Source organism: Homo sapiens, chromosome 1 (assembly GCF_000001405.40).
Source record: "Homo sapiens chromosome 1, GRCh38.p14 Primary Assembly".
In the NCBI taxonomy this organism is placed as follows: Eukaryota; Metazoa; Chordata; class Mammalia; order Primates; family Hominidae; genus Homo; species Homo sapiens.
This window is the reverse complement of record NC_000001.11, coordinates 212,891,732-212,915,904: the sequence shown is the minus strand read 5'-3', so window position 1 is coordinate 212,915,904 and position 24,173 is coordinate 212,891,732. Positions and strand designations below refer to the sequence as shown.

General features: G+C 41.3%; 1 protein-coding gene across 3 annotated transcripts in view, besides 6 other annotated features; it reads right to left on the bottom strand.

Annotated features, from left to right (window-relative positions):
• Positions 366 to 967: an enhancer, noted in NCBI's record as "OCT4-NANOG-H3K27ac-H3K4me1 hESC enhancer chr1:213088280-213088881 (GRCh37/hg19 assembly coordinates)". NCBI's record gives its function as "activates a minimal SCP1, AML or CMV promoter by ChIP-STARR-seq in naive and primed H9 embryonic stem cells {active_cell/tissue: H9 hESC(naive and primed)}" and the evidence as "EXISTENCE:reporter gene assay evidence [ECO:0000049][PMID:30033119]".
• Positions 968 to 1,568: an enhancer, noted in NCBI's record as "OCT4-NANOG-H3K27ac hESC enhancer chr1:213087679-213088279 (GRCh37/hg19 assembly coordinates)". NCBI's record gives its function as "activates a minimal SCP1, AML or CMV promoter by ChIP-STARR-seq in naive and primed H9 embryonic stem cells {active_cell/tissue: H9 hESC(naive and primed)}" and the evidence as "EXISTENCE:reporter gene assay evidence [ECO:0000049][PMID:30033119]".
• Positions 1,569 to 2,170: an enhancer, noted in NCBI's record as "OCT4-NANOG-H3K27ac hESC enhancer chr1:213087077-213087678 (GRCh37/hg19 assembly coordinates)". NCBI's record gives its function as "activates a minimal SCP1, AML or CMV promoter by ChIP-STARR-seq in naive and primed H9 embryonic stem cells {active_cell/tissue: H9 hESC(naive and primed)}" and the evidence as "EXISTENCE:reporter gene assay evidence [ECO:0000049][PMID:30033119]".
• Positions 5,157 to 6,012: an enhancer, noted in NCBI's record as "OCT4-NANOG-H3K27ac-H3K4me1 hESC enhancer chr1:213083235-213084090 (GRCh37/hg19 assembly coordinates)". NCBI's record gives its function as "activates a minimal SCP1, AML or CMV promoter by ChIP-STARR-seq in naive and primed H9 embryonic stem cells {active_cell/tissue: H9 hESC(naive and primed)}" and the evidence as "EXISTENCE:reporter gene assay evidence [ECO:0000049][PMID:30033119]".
• Positions 6,013 to 6,870: an enhancer, noted in NCBI's record as "OCT4-NANOG-H3K27ac-H3K4me1 hESC enhancer chr1:213082377-213083234 (GRCh37/hg19 assembly coordinates)". NCBI's record gives its function as "activates a minimal SCP1, AML or CMV promoter by ChIP-STARR-seq in primed H9 embryonic stem cells {active_cell/tissue: H9 hESC(primed)}" and the evidence as "EXISTENCE:reporter gene assay evidence [ECO:0000049][PMID:30033119]".
• Positions 6,871 to 7,726: an enhancer, noted in NCBI's record as "OCT4-NANOG-H3K27ac-H3K4me1 hESC enhancer chr1:213081521-213082376 (GRCh37/hg19 assembly coordinates)". NCBI's record gives its function as "activates a minimal SCP1, AML or CMV promoter by ChIP-STARR-seq in naive and primed H9 embryonic stem cells {active_cell/tissue: H9 hESC(naive and primed)}" and the evidence as "EXISTENCE:reporter gene assay evidence [ECO:0000049][PMID:30033119]".
• The window catches only part of FLVCR1 (FLVCR choline and heme transporter 1), a 41,089-nt gene continuing 33,457 nt past the window's right edge, over positions 16,542 to 24,173 (bottom strand). For 2 of the 3 annotated variants that reach the window (XR_247024.4, XR_007059232.1), the window contains 3 exons: positions 20,852 to 20,919; positions 20,551 to 20,689; positions 16,542 to 20,293 (listed from right to left, as the gene is read on the bottom strand). Coding sequence is in view for 1 of the 3 variants with exons in the window: in NM_014053.4 (NP_054772.1) it covers positions 20,615 to 20,689; positions 20,852 to 20,919 (143 nt within the window). In the remaining 2 variants the exon portion in view is untranslated. Of the gene's footprint in view, positions 20,690 to 20,851; positions 20,920 to 24,173 lie in introns of all 3 variants that reach the window. The other variant, NM_014053.4, reaches the window with a different exon arrangement.

Below are 24,173 nucleotides of genomic sequence, written 5' to 3'. Positions count from 1 at the left end.
CAAGGGCGCCCAAGGGATTCCACAAAGGAGCAGCCTTTGGTGAAAAACAGCATGCTGTCTCCCATTTCACAGAAGTGGGGTCCTGGACAACTTCTACCTCCAGTTAGGCTGAGTCACTGGGCTGTTCTCGCATAGACCATCCCATGATTTGGCTTCATGCGTCACTAGAAAGGTCATTGATAGCTAATGTTTCACCACTGCCCCATGCAGTGTGACCTTCCATCCAGGCAGTGGGAGGTCTCGGTGTGCGTGTGTGTGTCTGAGTGTGTGTGTTTGGGGCAAGTGACTGCTACAGGTTTGATGATATGGCTGAAATGAACTGGCACATCCCGGTCCCTTATCCTCAACACCCCCAACCCCCTCACCACAATCCAGTGAAATTTCAGCAATGAGTCTGCAACAGTTCATGAAATGACCAGTAGAGAGGGTGATTTCCCCATCTGTGGAATGGAAATGGCTCTCTCCAGGCACAGTGCCAGGTGAGGGTCTAGCAGCCAGATTTTCAGGACTTAGAAAAAGTCAGATGTACTTGCAAGCCAAAGAGGCAATGGTCTAAGGCAGAGTAACGATAAGGACACAAGGAGAGCCAAAACCTCACCCCGTTTGCCTTACTGGACAATGGAGGCAGGCAGGGCTGTATCTATTCAGTCTAGACCACGTTAAAATGCAAATACAACTGGGATTATATTTGAGGTTGTTGCCTGTCTTTTGTATCTGAGATGAAAGGAGATGAGAGAGTATTTTGACAAACTAGAAGGTGAGAATGAGTTCTGGGATGGACAGAGAAGCATAAGGGGCATAAAACACTCAAACTGGGGCCTCCTGAACAGCGCAATCCTCTGCTCAAACGATCAGAAAAGCCCTGCCTGATTCCAACACTGAGAACTGAGTCTGCTCCTGCATGTCTGTGTCTAGCAGAAGGGGCCGCTGCCCCCCTGGGGCTCCCATTTCATTTGCACATGTATGTCCTCTTGGCAAGTGCTGTGGACTGAAATGATTTCTTTTCTTGTCTTTGAGCATCTTGAAAGAGGAACACTGTCTTTGCATTTCCAGCTCCTACCACAAACTGACAAAATTCTAAATGCTCCATGTTGAATAAGTGAATGAATGAATGTCCAAGAGTAGAGAAGCATTAGGTAACGATGTTATGTCAGCTTATTGCAATATTATGTGGTTATGGAAAATAATGGTTTTAAAGGACAATTGGAAAATGCTTATGGTTTTCATGCGCGTCCATGTGAAGAGACCACCAAACAGGCTTTGTGTGAGCAACATGGCTGTTTATTTCACCTGGGTGCAGGCGGGCTGAGTCCGAAAAGAGAGTCAGCGAAGGGAGATAAGGGTGGGGCCGTTTTATAGGATTTGGGTAGGTAAAGGAAAATTACAGTGAAAGGGGGTTTGTTCTCTGGCGGGTAGGAGTGGGGGTCGCAAGGTGCTCAGTGGGCAGGAGTGGGGGTTGCAAGGTGCTCAGTGGGGGTGCTTTTTGAGCCAGGATGAGCCAGGAAAAGGACTTTCACAAGGTAACGTCATCAGTTAAGGCAAGGACTGGCCATTTACACTTCTTTTGTGGTGGAATGTCATCAGTTAAGGTGGGGCAAGGCATATTCACTTCTTTTGTGATTCTTCAGTTACTTCAGGCCATCTGGGCGTATACCTGTAAGTCACAGGGGATGTGATGGCTTGGCTTGGGCTCAGAGGCCTGACATTCCTGCCTTCTTATATTAATAAGAAAAATAAAACAAAATAGTGTTGAAGTGTTGGGGCGGTGAAAATTTTTGGGGGGTGGTATGGAGAGAGAATGGGCGATGTTTCTCAGGGCTGCTTCAAGCGGGATTAGGGGCGGCGTGGGAACCTAGAGTGGGAGAGATTAAGCTGAAGGGAGGTCTTGTGGTAAGGGGTGATATTGTGGGGATGTTAGAAGAAACATTTGTCATATAGAATGATTGGTGATGGCCTGGATACGGTTTTGTATGAATTGAAAAATTAAATGGAATAACAGAAGGAGAAAAACAGGTATAAAAGGTCTAAGAATTGGGACGACTCAGGATGTCTGATTAGAGAGTGCTTAAGGAGATTTGGCATAGTCCTGCCGGCAAAGATTATTTATTTACTTCAAGAGTTAAGAGTGGCAGTTTGGGGATAGCACCAGGAGATATCAGCTGTGATGGCTTGGAAAAACAGTGTAAACTGGCAGTGTAAACAAGAGCAGGGCATGTATGAGTAGTTGAGAATGGTGAATAGGAGTATGACTAGACAGAAAATAGTAGGAATGACAAGTTTTTTTTTTTTTTTGAGGCGCAGTCTAAGTTGGTCTGGTGTCTGGAATGAGACTGGGGCCTAATAAAAAGGAGCGTCTATACAGGACCTTAAATGGGCTGTACCCTGTAGCATTCCAAGGACAGGCCTGAATTCTGAGAAGGGAAAGTGGTAAAAGTATTGTCCAGTCCTTTTTAAGTTGGTGGCTGAGCTTGGTGAGATATGTTTTTAAAATACCTTTAGTCCATTCTACTTTTCTTGAAGATGGAGGACCGTAAGGGATATAAAGGTTTCACTGAATACTAAGAGCCTGGAAAACTGCTTGGCTGATTTGACTAATAAATACAGTTATCAGACTGTATTGAGGTGGGAAGGCTAAACTGAGGAATTATGTCTGACAGAACGGAAGAAATGACTGCGGTGGCCTTCTCAGGCCCTGTAGGAAAGGCCTCTACTTATTTTGAGGGCCTCTAAAAGTATTAAAGCAGCGGCAGCCGCTGCACGCAGACATGAGGGCTAGGCTAAAACAGTAAGGTCAAGTTGTTTGGACAGAAAGGCTACAGGGTGTGGTCTTGGCTCTTGTGTAAAAATTCTGACTGCGCTAACCATGCCTAGGAAGGAAAGGAGTTGTTTTGTAGAAGGTGCTTGGGTTTGAGAGATCAGTCGGACACGATTGGCAGGGAGAGCACGTGTGTTTTTATGAGAATCATGCCGAGATAGGTAACAGATGAGGAAGAAATTTGGGCTTGATTGAAGTAATGGGGGCTGCCTGTGAAGCTTTGCAGCAGTACAGCCTAGGTAATTTGCTGAGCTTGATGGGTGTCAGGGTCAGTCCAAGTGAAAGTGAAGAGAGGCTGGGATTAAGGGTGCAAAGGAATAGTAAAGAAGGCATGTTTGAGATCTAGAACAGAATAATGGGTTGTAGAGGCAGGTATTGAGGATAGGAGAGTATATGGGTTTGGCACCACGGGGTGTATAGGCAAAACAATTTGGTTGATAAGGTGCAGATCCTGAACTAACTTGTAAGGCTTGTCTGGTTTTAGGACAGGTAAAATGGGGGAATTGTAAGGAGAGTTTATAGGCTTTAAAAGGCCATGCTGTAGCAGGCGAGTGATAATAGGCGTTAATCTTTTTAAAGCGTGCTGCCGGATGGGATATTGGCGTTGAGTGGGGTAAGAGTGATTAGGTTTTAATGAGATGGTAAGGGGTGCATGATCGGTTGCCAAGGAGGGAGTAGAGGTATCTTATACTTGTGGGTTAAGGTGGGGGGATAGAAGAGGAGGACGCAAAGGAGGCTTTGGATTGGGAAGAAGGGCGGCAATGAGATATAGCTGTAGTCTAGGAATAGTCAGGGAAGCAGATAATTTAGTTAAAGTGTCTCAGCCTAATAAGGGAACTGGGCAGGTGGGGATAACTAAAAAGGAGTGCTTAAAAGAGTATTGTCTAAGTTGGCACCAGAGTTGGGGAGTTTTAAGAGGTTTAGTAAGCCTGGCCGTCAATACCCACAACAGTTATGGAGGCAAGGGAAACAGGCCCTTGAAAAGAGGGTAATGTGGAGTAGCCTCCGTATTGATTAAGAAGTGGACGGGCTTACCTTCCACTGTGAGTTACCCGAAGCTCGATGTCCGTGATGGTCTAGGGGGCTTCCGAGGCGATCGGGCAGTGTCAGTCTTCAGCCACTAAGCCGAGAAGATCTGGGAAGGAGTCAGTCAGAGAGCCTTGGGCCAGAGTTCCAGGGGCTCTGGGAGTGGCTGCCAGGTGAGTTGAACAGTCCGATTTTCAGTGGGGTCCCACACAGATGGGACGCGGCTTAGGAGGAATCCCGGGCAGTGGGCATTCCTTGGCCCAGTGGCCAGATTTCCAGCACGTGTAGCAAGCTCCTGTGGGAGGAGGTTCTGGAGGAAGGCCTGGCTGCTGCGGTTCAGGCGTTTGGAAGTTCTTGTGTGCTGGAGATGTGGCTGGGGTTTGTCTCACAGTGGAGGCAAGGAATTGCAACTTTTTTCTATTATGGTACACCTTGAAGGCGAGGTTAATTAAATCCTGTTGTGGGGTTTGAGGGACGGAATTTAATTTTTGGAGTTTTATTTAATGTCGGGAGCAGATTGGGTAATAAAATGTATATTGAGAATAAGACGGCCTTTTGACCTTTTAGGGTCTAGGGCTGTAAAGTGTCTCAGGGTTGCTGCCAAACGAGCCATGAACTGGGCTGGATTTTTATATTTGATGAAAAACAGCCTAAACGCTATCTGATTTGGGATAAAGAAAAAGGAGCATTAACCTTGACTATGCCTTTGGCTCCAGCCACCTTTTTAAGAGTAAATTGCTGGGCAGGTGGGGGAGGGCTAGTCACGGAACGAAACTGTAAGCCGGACCAGGTGTGATGAGGGGAGGCGATAAAAAGATTGTAGGGTGGAGGAGCGGAGGCTGAGGAAGAAATGGGACCTAGCTCGGCCTGGCGAGGAGCAGCCTGGGGAGGAAGGAAGAGGTCAGATGGGCCTGTAGAAAAGGAAGATTAGAAAGACTCAGCGATGCTTGGGGTTGGTACTGAGGGGACAGGCGGGAGGGAAAGAAGGAAGATTTGGGACGAGTTGCACTGGGCACAGAGGCTAGGACGGGACTGATGTGTAAAAGAATGCCTGGACGTCAGGCACCTCAGACCGTTTGACTATTTTACGACAAGAATTATTTAGATCTTGCAGGATGGAAAAATTCAAAGTGCCATTTTCTGGCTATTTGGAACTACTGTCGAGTTTGTATTGGGGTCAAGCGGCATTGCAGAAGAAAATAAGGCATTTAGGTTTTAGGTCAGGTGTGAGTTGAAGAGGTTTTAAGTTTTTGAGAACACAGGCTAAGGGAGAAGAAGGAGGAATGGAAGGTGGAAACATACCCATAGTGAAGGAGGCAAGCCCAGAGAAAAGAGTAGAGACACGGAGAAGGGGTGGGGGGTTCTTGCCCTCCAGAAAAGCAGAGAAGGGGTTGGGGCACGGAAATAAGGGATTGGGGCACAGAGATAAGAGGTCAGGGTGCGGAAATAAGGGATTGGAGCACAGAGATAAGAGGTTGGGGTGCGGAAATAAGCGATTGGGGGGTTCTTGCCCCCTAGGAAAGTGGGACTTGCCGCTAAGGGTGAAGGAGAAGGGGTTGAGGGGTACTTGCCCTGCCCCAGGAAAGCGGGACTTGCTGCTAAGGGTGAAGAAGGGGTTTGTGAAGAGACCACCAAACAGGCTTTGTGTGAGCAACATGGCTGTTTATTTCACCTGGGTGCAGGCGGGCTGAGTTCGAAGAGAGAGTCAGCGAAGGGAGATAAGGGTGGGGCCGTTTTATAGGATTTGGGTAGGTAAAGGAAAATTACAGTGAAAGGAGGTTTGTTCTCTGGCGGGTAGGAGTGGGGGTCGCAAGGTGCTCAGTGGGTGTGCTTTTTGAGCCAGGATGAGCCAGGAAAAGGACTTTCACAAGGTAATGTCATCAGTTAAGGCAAGGACCGGCCATTTACACTTCTTTTGTGGTGGAATGTCATCAGTTAAGGTGGGGCAAGGCATATTCACTTCTTTTGTGATTCTTCAGTTACTTCAGGCCATCTGGGCGTATACGTGCAAGTCACAGGGGATGCGATGGCTTGGCTTGGGCTCAGAGGCCTGACAATGGTCTTATGTTAAATATAGAAACTGCTTTATTCTTATGTAAAATTATGTATGCCTATAAACTAAAAGAGAACAAGAAAAGTGAGTTATTCATGGGTAGTGGGCTTGTTGGTGGCTTCCTTTCTAGCTTGTTTTTTAATTTCCTTTGTTGAGGATTGTGCGATAAATATAGGAACCATTTTTCCTGCTCACAAAACAACTCAGTTTTGTTCTTTTGGTGCCCAAATCCCTTGGCTACCATCTTATTTGCCCATATCTCCCCTGAATTCAGATATCTTCTGAATTCATTTTTGTTTCACCATCTTTGCACAGTGCCCAGCACTGTACCCACATACACATGCAAGTGACAATATTTTGGGAAAATAATAATTTTATTGGCAGCTGCTTATAAATAACGTCAAGTTTAGACCTGGGGCGGTGGCTCACCCATAATCCCAGAACTTTGGGAGGCCAAGGCGGGCAGATCACGAGGTCGGGAGTTCGAGACCAGCCTGACCAAAATGGTGAAACCCCGTCTCTACTAAAAAAAAAAAAAATACAAAAATTAGCCAGGCGTGGTGGCGCATGCCTGTAATCCCAGCTACTCAGGAGGCTGAGGCAGGAGAATCACTTGAACCCGGGAGGTGGACGCTGCAGTGAGCTGAGACTGCGCCACTGCACTCCAGCCTAGGCAACAGAGTGAGACTCCATCTCAAAAAAAAAAAAAAAAAAAGTCAAGTTCGAACACTGGTTCTTTCAAATCAGGCTGCTGCTTCTTAAGTGTGTGTTATCAGCAGCAAGTTCCTATTCACACTTTTTTAAAATGAGAGTCATAATGGATCTGATTCATTGAGGACCTACTGTGTGCCTTCTGCTTAAATTTAACCCTCACCACAAAGCTGCAAAACAGGAAATATTGTCCTATTTAATTGAGGAGGAAACGGAAATTCAGGGGGTTTAAGTTACTTTCCCAAGATCATAAATAGGTTTCAAACCTAAGACTTTGGGCCCCACAAAGACCATGTTTTTATCCTGTAATCCATGATGAATACTTTGTTTCTTTTTCTTTCTTTCTTTCTTTCTTTTTTTTTTTTGAGATGGAAGTTTGCTCTTGTTGCCCAGGCTGGGGTGCAATGGCGCAATCTCGGCTCACTGCAACCTCCACCTCCCGGGTTCAAGTGATTCTCCTGCCTCAGCCTCCCGAGTAGCTGAGATTACAGGCATGTGCCAACACACCTGGCTAATTTTGTATTTTTAGTAGAGACGTGGTTTCTCTATGTTGGTCAGGCTGGTCTCAAACTCCCTACTGTCAGGCCTCTGAGCCCAAGCTAAGCCATCATATCCCCTGTGACCTGCACGTACACATCCAGATGGCCGGTTCCTGCCTTAACTGATGACATTCCACCACAAAAGAAGTGAAAATGGCCTGTTCCTGCCTTAACTGATGACATTGTCTTGTGAAATTCCTTCTCCTGGCTCATCTTGGCTCAAAAGCTCCCCTACTGAGCACCTTGTGACCCCCACTCTGCCCGCCAGAGAACAACCCCCCTTTGACTGTAATTTTCCTTTATCTACCCAAATCCTATAAAATGGCCCCACCCTTATCTCCTTTCGCTGACTCTCTTTTCGGACTCAGCCCGCCTGCACGCAGGTGAAATAAACCACCTTGTTGCTCATACAAAGCCTGTTTGGTGGTCTCTTCACACGGACGCGCATGAAACCTACCTCAGGTGATCCGCCCACCTCAGCCTCGCAAAGTGCTGGGATTACAGGTGTGAGCCACAGCACCCGGCCGATGAATACTTTCAAAGGGCTCATGGTACAGTTGAGGCAGTGAGGTAATGCACATAAATAACAGAAGAAAACCATTCAAGGAATCTACCTTATGAATAAGAGTACCAAGTATTGAATAACGTTGCAAAGAATGAGTTTATTGCTGTGTATAGCCTCTCCAGGGACATCTTTTTAAATTCTGAGCTCCTGATGACACAATAGAAAGCTCTGGCCATGGACAAATTCTGCCCTAGCTGGAATGACCCAGATCTTGTCCGTCTTGGTTTGGGGTCAAAGTATGTTTTGAAGGATTCAGCCTTTTCACTGAAAAAGAAAGCACTGTCAGTCCTATTTCAGCCTCATTTTAATTTTTATGCATTATGAAACTTTATAAAAATCTAATTTATCATTTTATCTCAGGGAGTTTGGGGCCAGTTCATCCCTGGAAGAATCAAATGTTTTCCTCATTATGGGAATGAGAGGTATGCTCAAGCAGCATTTGTCAACCGAAACCTATGGGCTCCAACCAGAAATCAAGTTTCCACTGGTTTCCGCCAGGTTGTTCTCTTTACAGTTACCATTTCGCCCACGGGTTAAAATAATCAAGATAAAGGGAAAAGTGCAAATGGGTACATATAACAAGATAAAACAAAGGCTTAATACGTCACTTGTCGAAATGGAAAATGAGGCTCATATGTCTTATTTTAATGAGTCCTTTCTAAATTTCTCTCCTGTGCCGTCCTTTTCTCCTTTCTCAAGGCTATAGGGCCTCCAAGCCCCATCTCCTCCTCCCTCCTATTCAAACCTGCTTGCAGGACAGCCATCAGACTTAAGATGAGATATTCCCTCTTGGTAGTCTGGTGTGCTTTGAAACCTTCTCTCTCTTTAGGGACCCAAAAATATCGTATCTCCGGTGAAAGGTCATAAAGGCATCTTCCAGGCATGGGATCCTGTCAAGGGCCCTGAAATTACTTCAGGGCGGGATGTCACCTATTAGTTTGACCAACTCTTCCTGCAGAAAGTGAGGGGCAGTGTGGTGAGGACAAGAAGCTGACACTAACAGGTGGCTTACAGGAAAGAGGTGACTTCAGAAATGTGTTACTTACCTAGATTTCTTCGCCTGCTATTGAAAATAAAGAGTATCTTTTTTTCTGGATGGAAGTAGTTTTTCCCACTGAAAATCTAAATGTAAATTTTAGTGATTCTGAATGGGATCTGAGAAAGGTCTTAGATTTTAAAGTTCCTATTTCTTATAGGGTAGCCGGTAACAGATAAAATGCCATGTTATTATTTTATATTTTAAACAGTTTCATGGCTTTTGCCTCAAATATTTAGCTGTTTGTAAAACTAAATAATGCTGGAAACTTTATCCTGAAATATCATACTAATTATAATTTAAATGGCATGACAACAGATGGTAGTAGCAGCTTTTTATAACTCTTCGTTTACACAGAGGTAGTATCTTGCTTTGCAGCTACCAATTCTCTTCTCTTTGGTCTCATTAATAAAACCACCCTAAATCTTCTGCCTGTCTTTCCCTTAGGCTCCTTCTTTGTCTCCACTAACTCTTTATGTTCCACCTACCTCCTTTAATTAGAGGCCTTTGATCCTTGATCCTCCCTTACTCTTTATTCTCTCCATATTCTGGCATTGTGAATCATTGATCAATGTAGTGATAGCCAGTTTCTCCTTTCTAGAAGCAAGACCCTTTTCAGGGAATCCATAATGTCCAAACTCTTTTCATAATAATACAAAGAAGTTATATACCTTTTTCACTATGTTGACATTTGCAATGATGGTGCAAAAGTGGTGGCGGGCAAAATTGCTGTTCTACGCTAAAAGTTTAGTCCCACTTGTTTATGTTTGCTTTTGCTGTCTCTGTTTTTGGTGTCATATTAAAAAAAAATCATTGCTCATCAATGCCTATGTTTCCTCCTTACATTTTATGATTTCAGGTCTTATATTTAAGTCTTTGTTGTTGTTGTTGTTGTTATTGAGATAAGGTCTCATTCTGTCACTCAGGCTGGAGTGCAGTGGTGCAATCTCGGCTTACTGCAGCTTCAACCTCCTGGGCTCATGAGATTCTTCCAACTCAGCTTTCCTGAGTAGCTGAGACCACAGGCGTGTGCCACCATACCTGGCTAATTTTTAAATTTTTTTTGGTAGAGGCGAGGTCTTACTATGTTGCCCAAGCTGTCCTCAAACTCCTAACTCAAGTGATCCTTCCACCACGGCCTCCCAAAGTGCTGGGATTACAGGCATGAGCCACCACACCTGCCCTGTCTTTAATCCATTTGAGTTGATGTTTGTGTATGATGTAAGATAAGAATCCAATTTCATTTTTTTTTTTTTTTTGCATGTGGTTATCCAGGTTTCCCAACAGTATCTATTGAAGACTATCCCTTCCACATTGTGTATTCTTGTCACAGATTAATTGACAGTGTATGTATGAGTTTATTTCTGGGCTTTCTGTTCCATTGGCCTAGTTTGTTTTTATGAGAGTATCATGCCGTTTTGATTACAGTAACTTTGTAATATAATTTGAAATCAGGAAGTGTGATACAACTTTGATCTTTCTCAAGTTTGCTTTAGCTATTCAAGTTCTCTTGAGGTTCCACACAAATTTTAAGATTGTTCTATTTTTATGAAAAATGCGATTGGAATTTTGAGAGAAATTGTGTTTAATCTTAAGGTTGCTTTGGGTAGTTGGACATTTTGACAATATTGATTCTTCTGATCCATGTACTTGGGATATCTTCCCATTAATTTGTCTTCAATTTCTTGCATCAATGCATTATAGTTTTCATTGTACAGATTTTTCACCTCCTTGATTAAACTTATTTCTGAGTACTTTATTCTTTTTGATCTTATTGTAAATGAAATTTTTTGCTTAGTTTTTCAGATAGTTCATTAGTATATAGAAATGCAACTGTTTTCATATGTTGATTTTGTATCCAGCAACTTTCCTGAATTTATTTTTAAATGTTTTTTCATAGAATCTCTAGAGATTTTTATACATAAGATCATGTTATCTGCACACAATTTTAATTCTTCCTTTCAGGTCTGGATGCCTTTTATTTCTTTTTCTTATCTAATTACTCATGTTAGAACTTCCAGTCCTACTAAATAGAAGTGGTAAGAGTGGACCTCCTTGCCTTGTTCTGGATCTTAGAGGAAGAGATTTCAGCTTTTTCACCATTGAGTATAATGTTAGCTGTGGGCTTTTCATAAATGATCTTTATTGTGTTGAGGTTAAGCTCCTTCTATGTCTTTTTTTTTTTTTGAGGTTTTATCATGAAAGGGTGTTGAATTTTGTCAAATACTTTTTCTGCATCTATTGAGGTGACTATATAATTTTTACCCTTATAGTATATCACATTTATTGAATTGTATATGTTGAACCATCCTTATATCCCTGGGATAAATCCCATTTGATCATAGTGTATGATCCTTTTAATGTGTTGTTAAATTTGGTTTGCTAGTATTTTGTGGAGGATCAGGGATACTGGCCTGTAATTTTATTTTCTATAATGTCCTTGACTGGTTTTGGTATCAGGGTAATGCTGACAATTAGTTTGGAAGTGTTCGTCCTCTGAAATTTTATGGAACACTTTAAGAAGGACTAGTATTATTTTCTTTGAATGTGTGGTAGAATTCACCAGTGAAGCCACTGGGACTTTGGTTTTTCTTCTACGGACAATTTTTGATTACTGATACAATCTACTTACTTGTTATTGGTATACTCAGATTTTCTATCTCTTCATGACTCAGTCTTGGTAGGTTGTATGTTTATAGAAATTTATCAATTTCTAGGTTATCCAGTTTGTTGAAGTACAATTGTTCATAATAGTCTCATGATTCTTTGTATTTCTGTGGTATCAGTTGTAATATCTCCTCTTTCATTTACAATTTCATTTGAGACTTCTCTTTTTCTTACTCTAAGGTTCATCAATTTTGTTTTTCTTTTCAAAAAATACAACTCCTAGTTTCACTGATCTTTTCTATTATTTTTCTAGTCTATATTTCATTTATTTCTGTTCTCATCTTTGTCATTTACTTCCTTCTACTAATTTTGGGCTTAATTTGTTCTTCTTTGTCTAGTTCCTTCAGGTGTAAAGTTAGGTGATTTATTTAAGATATTTCTTCATGTGGCCATTTATTGTTATAATTTCCCTCCTTGAACTGTTTTTGCTGCATTCCATCAGTTTTGATATGGTAATGGAAATAGAAAGTATTTCTATTTTCATTTGTCCCAAAATATTTTTTGATTTCCTGTTTGATTTCTTCGACTCACTAGTTGTTCAGAATCTGTTGTTTAATTTCTACATATTTTTGAATTTTCCAGTTTTCTTTCTATTGGTGGGTAATTTCATATCATTGTGAAATAATATGTAATTGTGTAATTTCCTATCATTGTAAGCATCAGAGAAGTTGCTTAATATGATATTATGTCTTAAGGAATATATGATTATTTCAATTGTATTTCTTATTTAAATGTATTTTAAAGACATTCTTTTGGGCCTAACATATGACCCATCCTGGAGAATGTTCCATGTGTACTTGAGGAAAATGTGTACTCTGTTGCTATTGGATGGAATATTCAATATATGTCCATTAAGTCCATGTGGTCTAAGGTGTAATTCAAATCCAATGTTTCCTTATTGATTTTGGCTGGATGTTCTATCAATTGTTGCAAGTGGGGTACTGAAATCCCCTATTAATTCTACTGCTATTTCTCCTTTCAGATCTGTTAATATTTGCTTTGCATAATTTTAGGTAGTCCACTGTTGGCACACACACACACATGCACACACAACTTGTTGGATCCTCTTAAATAATTGACCCCATTAAGGCCAGGCACAGTGGCTCATGTCTGTAATCCCAGCACTTTGGGAGGCCAAGGTGGGCGGATCATGAGGTCAGGAGATCGAGACCATCCTGGCCAATGTGGTGAAACCCCGTCTCTACTAAAATACAAAAAATTAGCTGGCCATGGTGGTGCAGGCCTATAGTACTGGCTACTTGGGAGGCTGAGGCAGGGGGAATTGCTTGAACCTGGGAGGCGGAGGTTGCAGTGAGCCGAGATCACACCACTGCACTCCAGCCTGGCGACAGAGCGAGACTCTGTCTCAAAAAAAAAAAAAAAAAAAATTGACTCCATTATCATTATATAATAGTCTTCTTTGTCCCTTGTTAAAGTTTTTTAGGTGTTTTTTTTGTTTGTTTTTTGACAAGAGTCTCACTCTGTTGGCCAGGCTGGAGTGCAGTTGCACGATCTCAGCTCACTGCAACCTCTGTTTCCCAGGCTCAAGCGATTCTCCTGCCTCAGCCTCCTGAGTAACTGGGATTACAGGCGTCTGCCACCACGCCCAGCTAATTTTTGTATTTTTAGTAGAGATGGGGTTTCACCATATTGGTCAGGCTGGTCTCGAACTCCTGACCTCAGGTAACCCACCTGCCTTGGCCTCCCAAAGTGCTGGGATTACAGGCGTGAGCCACCATGCCTGGCCAAAGTTTTTACTTAAAGTCCATTTTGTCTGATTTAAATATAGCTACCCTGGCCAGGTGCAGTGGCTCACAACTGTAATCCCAACATTTGGGAGGCCAAGGCAGGCAGATCACCTGAGGTCAGGCATTCAGGACCAGCCTGGCCAACACAGTGAAACTCCATTTCCTAAAAATACAAAAATTAGATGGGTGTGGTGGTGCACACCTGTAATCCCCACTACTTGGGAGGATGAAGCATGAGAATCACAAGAACCCAGGAGGTGGAGGTTGCAGTGAGCTGAGATCATGCCACTACACTCCAGCCTGGGTGGAGTGAGACTCTGTCTCAAAAATAAATAAATAAATAAAGCTACCCTGCTCTATTTCTGTTTCCATTTGTATGGATTCTCTCTTTCCATCCCTTTACGGCCTATGTATATCTTTAAAGCTAAAGTGACTCTGGTAAGCAGCATACAGTTTGGTTTTTAAATCCATTTAGCCAATCTATGTCTATGATTGGATAATTTAACCCATTTACATTTAAAGTAATTATTGACAGGTAAGAACTTACAGGCATTTTGTTGTTTTCTGGCGGTTTTAAAGATCCTTTGTCCTTTTCTTCCTCTCTTGCTGTCTTTTGTGATTAGATGATTTTCCTTAGTAGTATACTTAGATCCCTTTCTCTTTATCTGTGTGTGTCTACTACGGGTTTCTGCTTTGTGGTTAAAACAGGCTTACATAAAACATCTTATTGTCTATTTTAAGCTGATAGCAACTTAACTTTGTTCACACACAAAAACTCTACACTTTTATACGCCATTTTATGCTTTTGCTGTCACAATATTCATCCTTTTATATTGTGTATCAATTAATGAATTACCAAAGCTAGTTATTTTTAATATTTTTATTTTAGCCTATACACGAGTTAAAATGATTTACACATAACCACTGCAGTATTAGAATATTCTGATTTTGACTATATACGTATCTTTACCAGTGAGTTTTATACCTTTTTATGTTTTCATATTAGCATTAAAATTAGCATACTTTTGTTTCAGCTTGAAGAACTCCACTTAGCATTTCTCGCAAGGTAGGTCTGGTGGTGATTTAACTCCCTCAGTTTTTATTTGTCTGGGAAAGTTAATCTTTCCTTTTCTGAAGGACAGATTTATCAGGTAAAGTATTCTTGGTTAGCAGTTTATTTTTCTTTTTTAAATTTCAGCATTTTGAATATATCATCCTACTCTTCTTGGCCTGCAAGGTTTCTGCTGAGAAATCTGATAGCCTATGGGGTCTCCCTTGTATGTGATAAGCTTCTTTTTCCTTGTGCTGCTTTAAAAATTCTCTTTGATTTTTGGCTGGGCACAGTGGCTCATACCTGTAATACCAGCACTTTGAGAGGCCAAGGCAGGTGGATCACTTGAGGCCAGGAGTTTGAGACCAGCCTGGCCAACGTAGTGAAACCTTATCTCTACTAAAAATACAAAAAAAAAAAAAAAATAGCCAGCCATGGTGGTGCATGCCTGTAATCCCAGCTACTTGGGAGGCTGAGGCATGAAAATCGCTTGGGCCTAGGAGGAGGTGGTTACAGTGAGCTAAGATCATGCCACTGCACCCCAGCCTGGGAGACAAGAGTGAGACTCTGTCTCAAAAAAGAGAAAAAAAAAAAAGGAAAAAAGTTTAATTCTTTTACTTTTGACTGTTTCAGTGTAATGTGTCTTGGCAAAGTCTTCTTTGGGTTGAACCAGATTGCAGAACTTTGAGCGACATATACCTTAATGTCTGTGTCTCTCCCACATTTGAGAAGCTTTCAGCCATGCTTTATTAAATAAGCTTTCTGCTCCTTCTTTCTCTTCTCCTTTATTATTTCCATAAAGCAACTGTTAGCTCTTAATGTTGTTCCATAAATCTCATAAGCTCTCTTTAATCTTTTCATTCTTTTTCTCTCCTCTGGCTGCATATTTTCAAATGACCTGTCTTGGAATTCAGATTCTTTCTTCTGCTTGATCAAATCTGCTGTTGACTACTGCTTTTTTCCTTTCTGATTGTATTCTTCAGCAGCAGAATTTTTTTATGATTTCTCTTTGCTGAACTTCCATTTTGTTCATGCATTGTTTTTCTGATTTCATAGAGTTGTATATCTGTTCTCTTGTAGCTCACTGAATTTTCTTAAAACAATTTAAATTTATTGTCAAGCAATTCATATATCTCAATTTCTTTGGATTTGTTACTGTAATATTATTGTGCTCCTTAGGTGATATCATGTTTCCATTTTTTGTTTTCTTGAAGTCTTCCATTTCCATCCTTGCATTTGAAGAAAATCACTTCCTCCAGTCTTTATTGACTAGCTTCAGGAGAGAAATGCCTTCATCAATCTGCCTGGCTAGGAATTCTGAGGCTCTCTCCTACCTTTCCTGTGGATTCACCTGCTCCACAACCCCTGTTCCCACTTGCAGCAGGGGATTCTTAAAAGTTATATGCCTTATCTCAATCCCACAAAGCCAGGCCAGGTGCTGACAGCTTCCTGTTTGTTTCCCCTGGGGTGGTGTCCTGAAGTACTCAAGTTTGTGTACCTTGCTTCAATTCCACAATCAAGCCATCTGTCTCTATATTTGATGCTTGCAGTTGCCATCCAATGTGGCATGCTTGGGAAGCCAGCCTCAGGGAGATGGGGGTGAGGTGCACAGAGAATTTGGGGTGGCCATGGGTCATGTGGGAGGTCCATATGCAAGGTATCCCAGTGGCTGGTGAGGCTTCCTGATGGAGTCTGTGGAGTGCTGAGTAGGTTTCAGAGCCTTTCTTCCCTGCTCCCAGCCTTTCCCAACGCTTAGCTATGACAGTCACCTCAATATTTTAATTGGAGCAAGAAAGAGGTAGGGTTCTTAGGCAGCATCCCACACAGCTAGGGGCTGAGCACTCTCACTATGCTATCACCTTCTCCCATGGGAGAAATTGTGGACTGAGGGGAGTCTCTCTTGCCACTAAGCTGTGCCAACTTCAAAGAGTGATGCAGATAAAGTGAAAATCTTCTTCTTCCTTTTCTTTAATGCATTTATTCTCAGATATTTCTGCTCCAATGGTGTGCTGGAACTTCCACGTAGGACTTCTGGATTCCTACAAAAGAACTACCATCTGAAAGTACTGGTAAAAATCAATGCTTCTGTGGAAGAATGATGATATAAAGCTCCTATTCTGCCATCTTGCTAACATCACTCTCTAAAGTTACTTTTAAAGGAATAAAATATTTTAGTATCTATTTTAGCCCTGACCCTGGTAGACTTTGTTTCCTCATTTTATGTTCCATGCACTACCTCATTCCCTCTTTGCCCATTCTGAAATTTTATAATCCCTTTAAACTCCCCATGTGTACCTAAGCATCAGAATTTTTCAAAAAGTCACAGAAAATTAACATAAAAAAATAAATTTATTTTGAGTCTGAAATACTGAAGAACAAGCATACAGATAAATAGTACAAAGAACAAAAATTAGAACATGAGTAATGACTTAAGACACAGGCATTTTTCTAGCTATTGCATACAGACACATTTTTACACACAAACATATTTTTTAAAGACATCTCTCCAACATTCTCAAAAGGCAAGAGCTGTATTTGTGACATTTGTAATAAATGCAACAGCTTTTGAAACATCCAGTTTCTTTCCTAAGTCATTTGATTAAAATTCACACAAGTGATGATTACCTATTCCATTTTCTGAAAATACGACATACAGTCATGTTTCGATCAACAATTGACCACATATGACAGAGATCCTATAAGATTATAATGGAACTGAAAAATTCCTATCACCTAGTGATGCCACAGCCATTGTTACATTGTAGCACAATGTATTATCTGTTCTATGTTTAGATTACACAGATACCATTGTGTTACAGTTGCCTACAGTATTCAATACAGTACCATGCTGTACAGGTCTGTAGCCCAGAAGCGACAGACTTTGCCATCTAGCCCAGGTGTGCAGTAGGCTCTACCACCTAGGTTTGTGTAAGTACACTTCATGATGTTCACACAATGATGAAATCACCTAATGACAAATTTCTCAGAATGTAGCTCTGTCATGAAGTCACACATTACTGTAGAATTATAACATTCTTGCTTGACATATTACAGACAACTTTCACTCAAAATACAGAAAAATTATCAATTCATTTTGCATTGTCACATATTCCATCACCTTTCTAATCAACAAGGAAAAATAAACATAACATATATGTATATGCTTTTCAGAAATAAAGTATTCTAAATTTTATGTGTAATTTGTTCCAAACCTCAGGAACTCAACAAGTACATGATTATTTTAAACAACATTGATAGTTTAAAAATAAAAACATTTGGGGAGAGACCTTAAAATATATTTTTGGCCGTTTTTACCTGTAATGTAAATATCAAAGGAAGCTAATGATTGGACATACTCTGCTTGAGTTACCCTCAACTGACTAAAAAGGCTAAAAAGAAATGTAAAAGTCCGTTGTATCCATAAGGTAGCAATCACATTTGTTTATCCAATTGTCCAGGGAATTTTTCTCTGGCTGGATTCAAGTTCCTGTGATACAATAATTTGGTCTATTCCATGATTAATGGCATTTAATATTTTGGAAAGATCTTTGAGATCAAATTGAACACATTCATTTCATGGATGAGGAAAACGCTGCCCAGAGAGGTTTAATGATTTGTCCAGAGTTATAGGAACATACAGAAATACATCCAGGACATGGACACAGAGTTCCTGATTCTTAGTCAAATTCTTTAGATAACACATTCCCCAGGGTCAGATTCGACATAATTTACAGTCACTTGATTATAGAGAATGTTATAATTTCAATATATATCAATGCATATATTCTGCCTGATATAGTTGGGATACTTGTCCCTCCAATCTCACATTGAAATGTAATCCCCAATGTTGAAGGTTGGCCCTAATAGAAGGTGTTTGGGTCCTGCGGGTGGATCCCTCATGGCTTGGTGCTGTCCTTGCAGTAATGAGTGAGTTTTCACAAAATCTGGTTGTTTGAAGGTGTGTGGCACCTCCCTGCTCTCTTGCTCCTGCTTCGCCATGTGACATCTCTGCTCCCACTTAGCCTTTCACCATGAGTAAAGCTCCCTGAGGGCTCCCCAGAAGCCGAGCAGACACTGGTGCCATGCTTACACAGCCTGCAGAACTGTGAGCCACTTAAACCTCTTTTATTTATAAATTACCCAGTCTCAGGTATTTCTGTTCTTTTTTTCCTGAAACAGAGTCTCGCTCTGTCACCCAGGCTGGAGTGCAGTGGCGCAATCTCAGCTCACTGTAGCCTCCGCCTTCCAGGTTCAGGCAATTCTCATGCCTCAGCTTCCCAAGAAGCTGGGACTACAGGCGTGTGCCACCATGCCCGGCTAATTTGTGTGTGTGTGTGTGTGTGTATGTATTTTTAGTAGAGATGGGGTTTTGCCATGTTGGCCAGACTGGTCTTCAACTCCTGGCCTCAAATGATCCACCCACCTCAGCCTCCCAAAGTGCTGGGACTATAGGTGTGAGCCATCGTGCTCAACCTCAGGTTTTATTTATTTATTTATTTATTTATTTATTTATTTATTTATTTATTTGAGACAGTCTCACTTTATCTCCCAGGCTGGAGTGCAGTAGTGTGATTTTCGCTCACTGCAACCTCTGCCATTCGCATTCAAGCGATTCTCCTGCCTCAGCCTCCTGAGTAGCTGGGATTACAGGCGCCTGCCACTGCGCTAATTTTTGTATTTTTAGTAGAGATGGGGTTTCACCATCTTGGCCAGGCTGGTTTTGAACTCCTGACTTTGTGATCCACCTGCCTTGGCCTCCCAAAGTGCTGAGATTACAGGCATGAGCCACAGCACTGCGCCTGGCCTTTTTTTTTTTTTTTTTTTTTTTTTTTTTTTTTAGTAGAGATGGGGTTTTACCATGTTGGCCAGGCTGGTCTTGAACTCCTGACCTCAGGTGATCCACACGCTTCAGCCTCCCAAAGTGCTGGGATTACAGGCGTGAGCCACCACGCCCAGCCTAAATATTTCTTTATAGCAATGCAAGGATGGCCTAACACACTGCCTAAATCAAAATTGCTATTCACTTCAAGGGTATTCATTACCTGACTAGCTTTTTTGGGTGCATATGAACATAATGTAAATTTTATGGCTGATCAAATGTCATTACTATGAAGATACTCCCTATGAGCTCACAGAGTCAGGACATCAACAATATTTAAACTCTCACTGTAAACATGACACAGTGGTAGGCACTGTGGAAATATATTTGGTCCTATTTTCCCTACCTGAGCATGTAAAAGAGCAGACTATTCTAACAGTGTGATGACTCTGCAGTGAAGAAAAGAATCCACTCTCCCGGCACACTGATAGAGCATGTACCTGGGCATAGTATTCCTCAAAGGAGAATGGTCATAAAAATGATACTGCAGAATTCAAATAGCATTCAAGAGGTCTCCACTAAATGGGGACATGTAGGCTATCTGAAGTTATTATAGATTTCCTTATTTCAGGAATCTTCAAGGCAAAATATACGATGTGATACATGAAATCATGAAATAGCCAGTAACATACATGATGAAATTATCTTACTAGAAAGTTACACATCAGGAAAAAAAAAAAAAGAGAGTTTAAAAGAAAAAAAAGGCAATGGGTACAAAACTACTCTATCTCAAGTTGGAGTGAAAAAATACAGCGTTAGCATTTATCCATGATAGAAAGGCAGCACAGAAAAGAACTCAAGACAGAATGAACCTGTAACCAGGCTCCTTAATTAGAACATAATTCTAAGACCAAAGTCTGGGTAGAATCTGTACACAGAATAGTTTTTATAGCCATTGACTGCATGTGTTAAAAAGTACTTTGTAACAAGAGTACAATAAATGGGAAAAATCTTAGAGGTCATCTGAAAGCCTGATCCCAATGCTGTCCTTTGTGGGTGAGTAGTGTCATGTTGGTATGTTGTACTCAAACTGAAGTGGCTTGAACAGCTGGTCAGCACAGTGAAAAAGGCAGCCAATTAGGAATATATTGTACATTTAGTTCCACTGGATACTTTAATATATAAACTGCATGAACTATTATATCTTATGGGGACTGAACACCCCATATTATCACTTTAAAAAGTATTCTAAGCTTCCATTTTCTACAAAAAAGAAAAACATCGACTTTTAAAAAGTAAACGTCAAGAAGCTTACTTTCAGATACAATATGAGACTAAAAACCGGATACTAATTAGATAAACAGTAGTGTTAACATGATGTAAACAGAAGAATTTTAAGAAAATTTCCCTTAATTTAACAATTAAGCAAAATAATAATTATGCATTTAGAGTTCATATGGTAATTTTCAAGTAAGTGTGTTTATTCCCCCACCACATACAAACCCAGCCTTGGTGCTCACATCTCTCTCCAAGGATGATCACATTGTCCCCAATTACTACAGGACAGTAACTTTGCCTTTCTCTTCAAATTGCTGATTCTGACTGCTTGGACAACATAACCGTTTTTGGTTCTTGGTCTGTGGGACTGTCAGCTGGTATCTATAAAAACAATCAGAAGATTAAAAATGTATAGCATCTGGCATATCCTATTATAACAGATCAACAGTTGACTCGGGAGAAAAATAGCTAAATAAAAAAATATGGTTTCACATTTATTCTATACATACTTCTCAACAGTATAATCATAAAAATATTACTTACAGCTTTAACATCAACATTTGTAATTCCTATATTTATGTTGTGTCTTCGCAGATCAGACTTGATTAATGCTGAAACAGAGGGGCATCAAGTTACTATAAACTGTTATGTGAAGATTTTTTTAAAAAGCAGCTCAAAGTCTTTCTTGGTATTGTCAAATTTAATGCACTGTAGTGTCATGATATTTAATAGCATCCCAACAGCCTAAAAAATAATAGTACCTCTCTAAAGTTGTTAACAATTAATAAGTCATTCATTATTGAACAAATACGGGAATGCTAGCAACCAATGATACAAAAATGAAAAGTGTAATTCTTTTTCTTAAAGGACTCTCCAATCTAGGGAAACTTTGACATGTAAACAAGTATAACAGTGTGTGATAATTGCAAGGTATGGTGGGGAAGTGGGAGCAAAAAAAGTCTATGTCAGCCAAAGGAAATTAGAGAAGGCTTTCCAGAGAAGACATACTTGATACTGGAAAAAACTGAGTAATAACTTGTCAAGCAGACAAGAGGAGAGGAAGGCATTCTAGGCAGAAGGGAATGCAGGTATATCTCAGAGACATTGTGGGTTCAGCTCCAGATCACCACAAAAGAGTGAATATTGCTGGGCGTGGTGGGTCATGCCTGTAATCCCAGCACTTTGGGAGGCCGAGGTGGGTGGATCACAAGGTCAGAAGATCGAGACCATCCCGGCCAACACGGTGAAACTCCATCTCTACTAAAAACACAAAAAATTAGCCAGGCGTGGCGGCACGCACCTGTAGTCCCAACTACTAGGGAGGCTGAGACAGAAGAATCACTTGAACCTGGGAGGTGGAGGTTGCAGTGAGCAGAGATCGCACCACTGCACATATTTTTTGGTTTTCCAGTGCATAAAAAGTTATGTTTATACTATACTGTAGTCTATTTAAAGTTTGCAATAGCATTATGTCTAAAAAAAAAAATCAATCTACATGCCTTAATTTAAAAACACTTTACTGGCCAGGCTCAGTGGCTCATGCCTGTAATCCTAGCACTTTGAGAGGCCGAGGCGGGTGGATCACTTGAGGTCAGGAGTTCGAGACCAGCCTAGCCAACATAGTGAAACCCCCATCTCTACTAAAATACAAAAATTAGCTGGTTGTGGTGGTGGGCATCTGTAATCCCAGCTACTCAGGAGGCTGAGGCAGGAGAATCACTTGAACCCAGGAGGCAGAGGTTGCAGTGAGCCCAGATGGCGCCATTCCACTCCAGCCTGGGCAACAAGAGCGAAACTCCATCTCAAAAAAACAAAACAAAACAAAAAACACTTTACTGCTAAAAAATGCTAATGATTATCCAAGCCTTCTGCAAGTTATCTTTTTGCTGGTGGAGGGTCTTGCCTTGATGTTGATGGCTGCTGACAGATCAGGGTGGTGGTTGCTAAAAGGTGGGAGCGGCTGTGGCAATTTCTTAAAGTAAGACAGTGACGAAGTTTGCCGTATTAATCAACTCTTCCTTTCATGAAAGATCTCTCTGTGTGCAATACTTGTTTGATAACATTTTACCCACAAAACTTCCTCAAAACAGGAGTTGATCCTCTCAAACCCTGCCACTGCTTCATCAGCTAAGTTTATATAATATTCTAAATCCTTTGTTGTCATTTCAACATTTACAGCATCTTTACTAGTAGATTCCAACTCAAGAAAACACTTTCTTTGCTTATCCATAAGAAGCAACCCAGCCAGGCGCAGTGGCTGACACCTGTAATCCCAGCACTTTGGGAGGCCGAGGCAGGCAGATCACAAGGTCAGGAAATCAAAACCATCCTGGCTAACATGGTGAAACCCCGTCTCTACAAAAAATACAAAAAATTAGCCGGGCGTGGTGGCGGGCACCTGTAGTCCCAGCTACTCAGGAGGCTGAGGCAGGAGAATGGCCTGAACCCGGGAGGCAGAGCTTGCTGTGAGCCGAGATCACGCCACTGCACTCCAGCCTGGGCAACACAGCAACATTCCGGCACCCCCCCCCAAAAAAAAAGAAGCAACCCTTCATTTCTTCAGGTTTTACCATAAGATGCAGCAATTCAGTTACCTCTTCATATTCCACTTCTAATTCCAGTTCTCTTGTTATTCCCACCACATCTGCAGCTATTTCCTCCACTGAAGTCTTGAACACCTCAAAATCATCCATGAGAATGGGAATTAACTTCCTCCAAACTCCTGTTAATGTTGATAGTTTGACCTCCTCCCATGAATCAAGAATGTTCTTAATGGCATCTAGGATGGTGCATCCTTTCCAGAAAGTTCTCAATTTACTTTGCTCAGATCCAAGAGAGGAATAATTATTTCTGGCAGCTACAGCCTTTTGAAGTGTATTTCTTAAAGAATAAGACTTGAAAGTTGAAATTACTCCTTGATCCACGGGCTGCAGAAGGGATGCTGTGTTTCCAGACATGAAAGCAACATTGATCTCCTCGTACATCTTCATCAGAGCTCTTGGGTAAACAGGTGAATTGGTCAATGAGCAGTAGTATTTTGAAAGGAATGTTTTTCTCAGTAGCAGGCTTCAACAATGGGTTTAAAATATTCAGCAAACCATGCTACTAACAGATGTACTATCAACTACGGGGTTCAGGTTCATTGTTCCATTGTTAGAGCTTAGGCAGAGAAAATTTGGCCTAATTCTTAAGGGCCCTAGGATTTTCAGAATGGTCAACAAGCATTAGTTTCAATGTGAAGTCACCAGCTGCATCAACCCCTCACAAGAGAATGAGCTTGTCCTTTGAAGCCAGACATTGATTCCTCCTCTCTAGCTATGGCAGTCCTAGATGGCATCTTCTTCCAGTATAAGCCTGTTTCATCTACATGGAAAATTTGTGGTTTATTGTAGCCACCTTCATCAATCATCTTAGCTAGATCTTCTGGATAACCTACTTCAGCATCTACATCAGCACTTGCTGCTTCACCTTGCACTTTTATGTTATGAAGACAACTTCTTTCCTTACCTCATGAACTGACCTCTGCTAGTTTCCAGCTTTTCTTCCGCAACTTTCTCACCTCTTTCAACGTTCACAGAATTGGACAGTTAGGGCCTTGCTCTAGATTAGGCTTTGGCTTACGGCGATGTTGTGGCTGGTATGATCTTCTAACAAGACCACTCAAACTTTCTCCATATCAATAGGCTGTTTTATCATTTGTGTTCACTGGAGTAGCATTCTTAATTTCCCTTAAGAATTTTTCCTTTGCATTAGCAACTTGGCTAATTGTTTGGTGCAAAAGGACTAGCTTTTGGCCTATCTGGGCTTTTGACATGACTTGTTCACTAAGCTTAATCATTTTTAGCTTCTGATTTAAGAGGAGAGA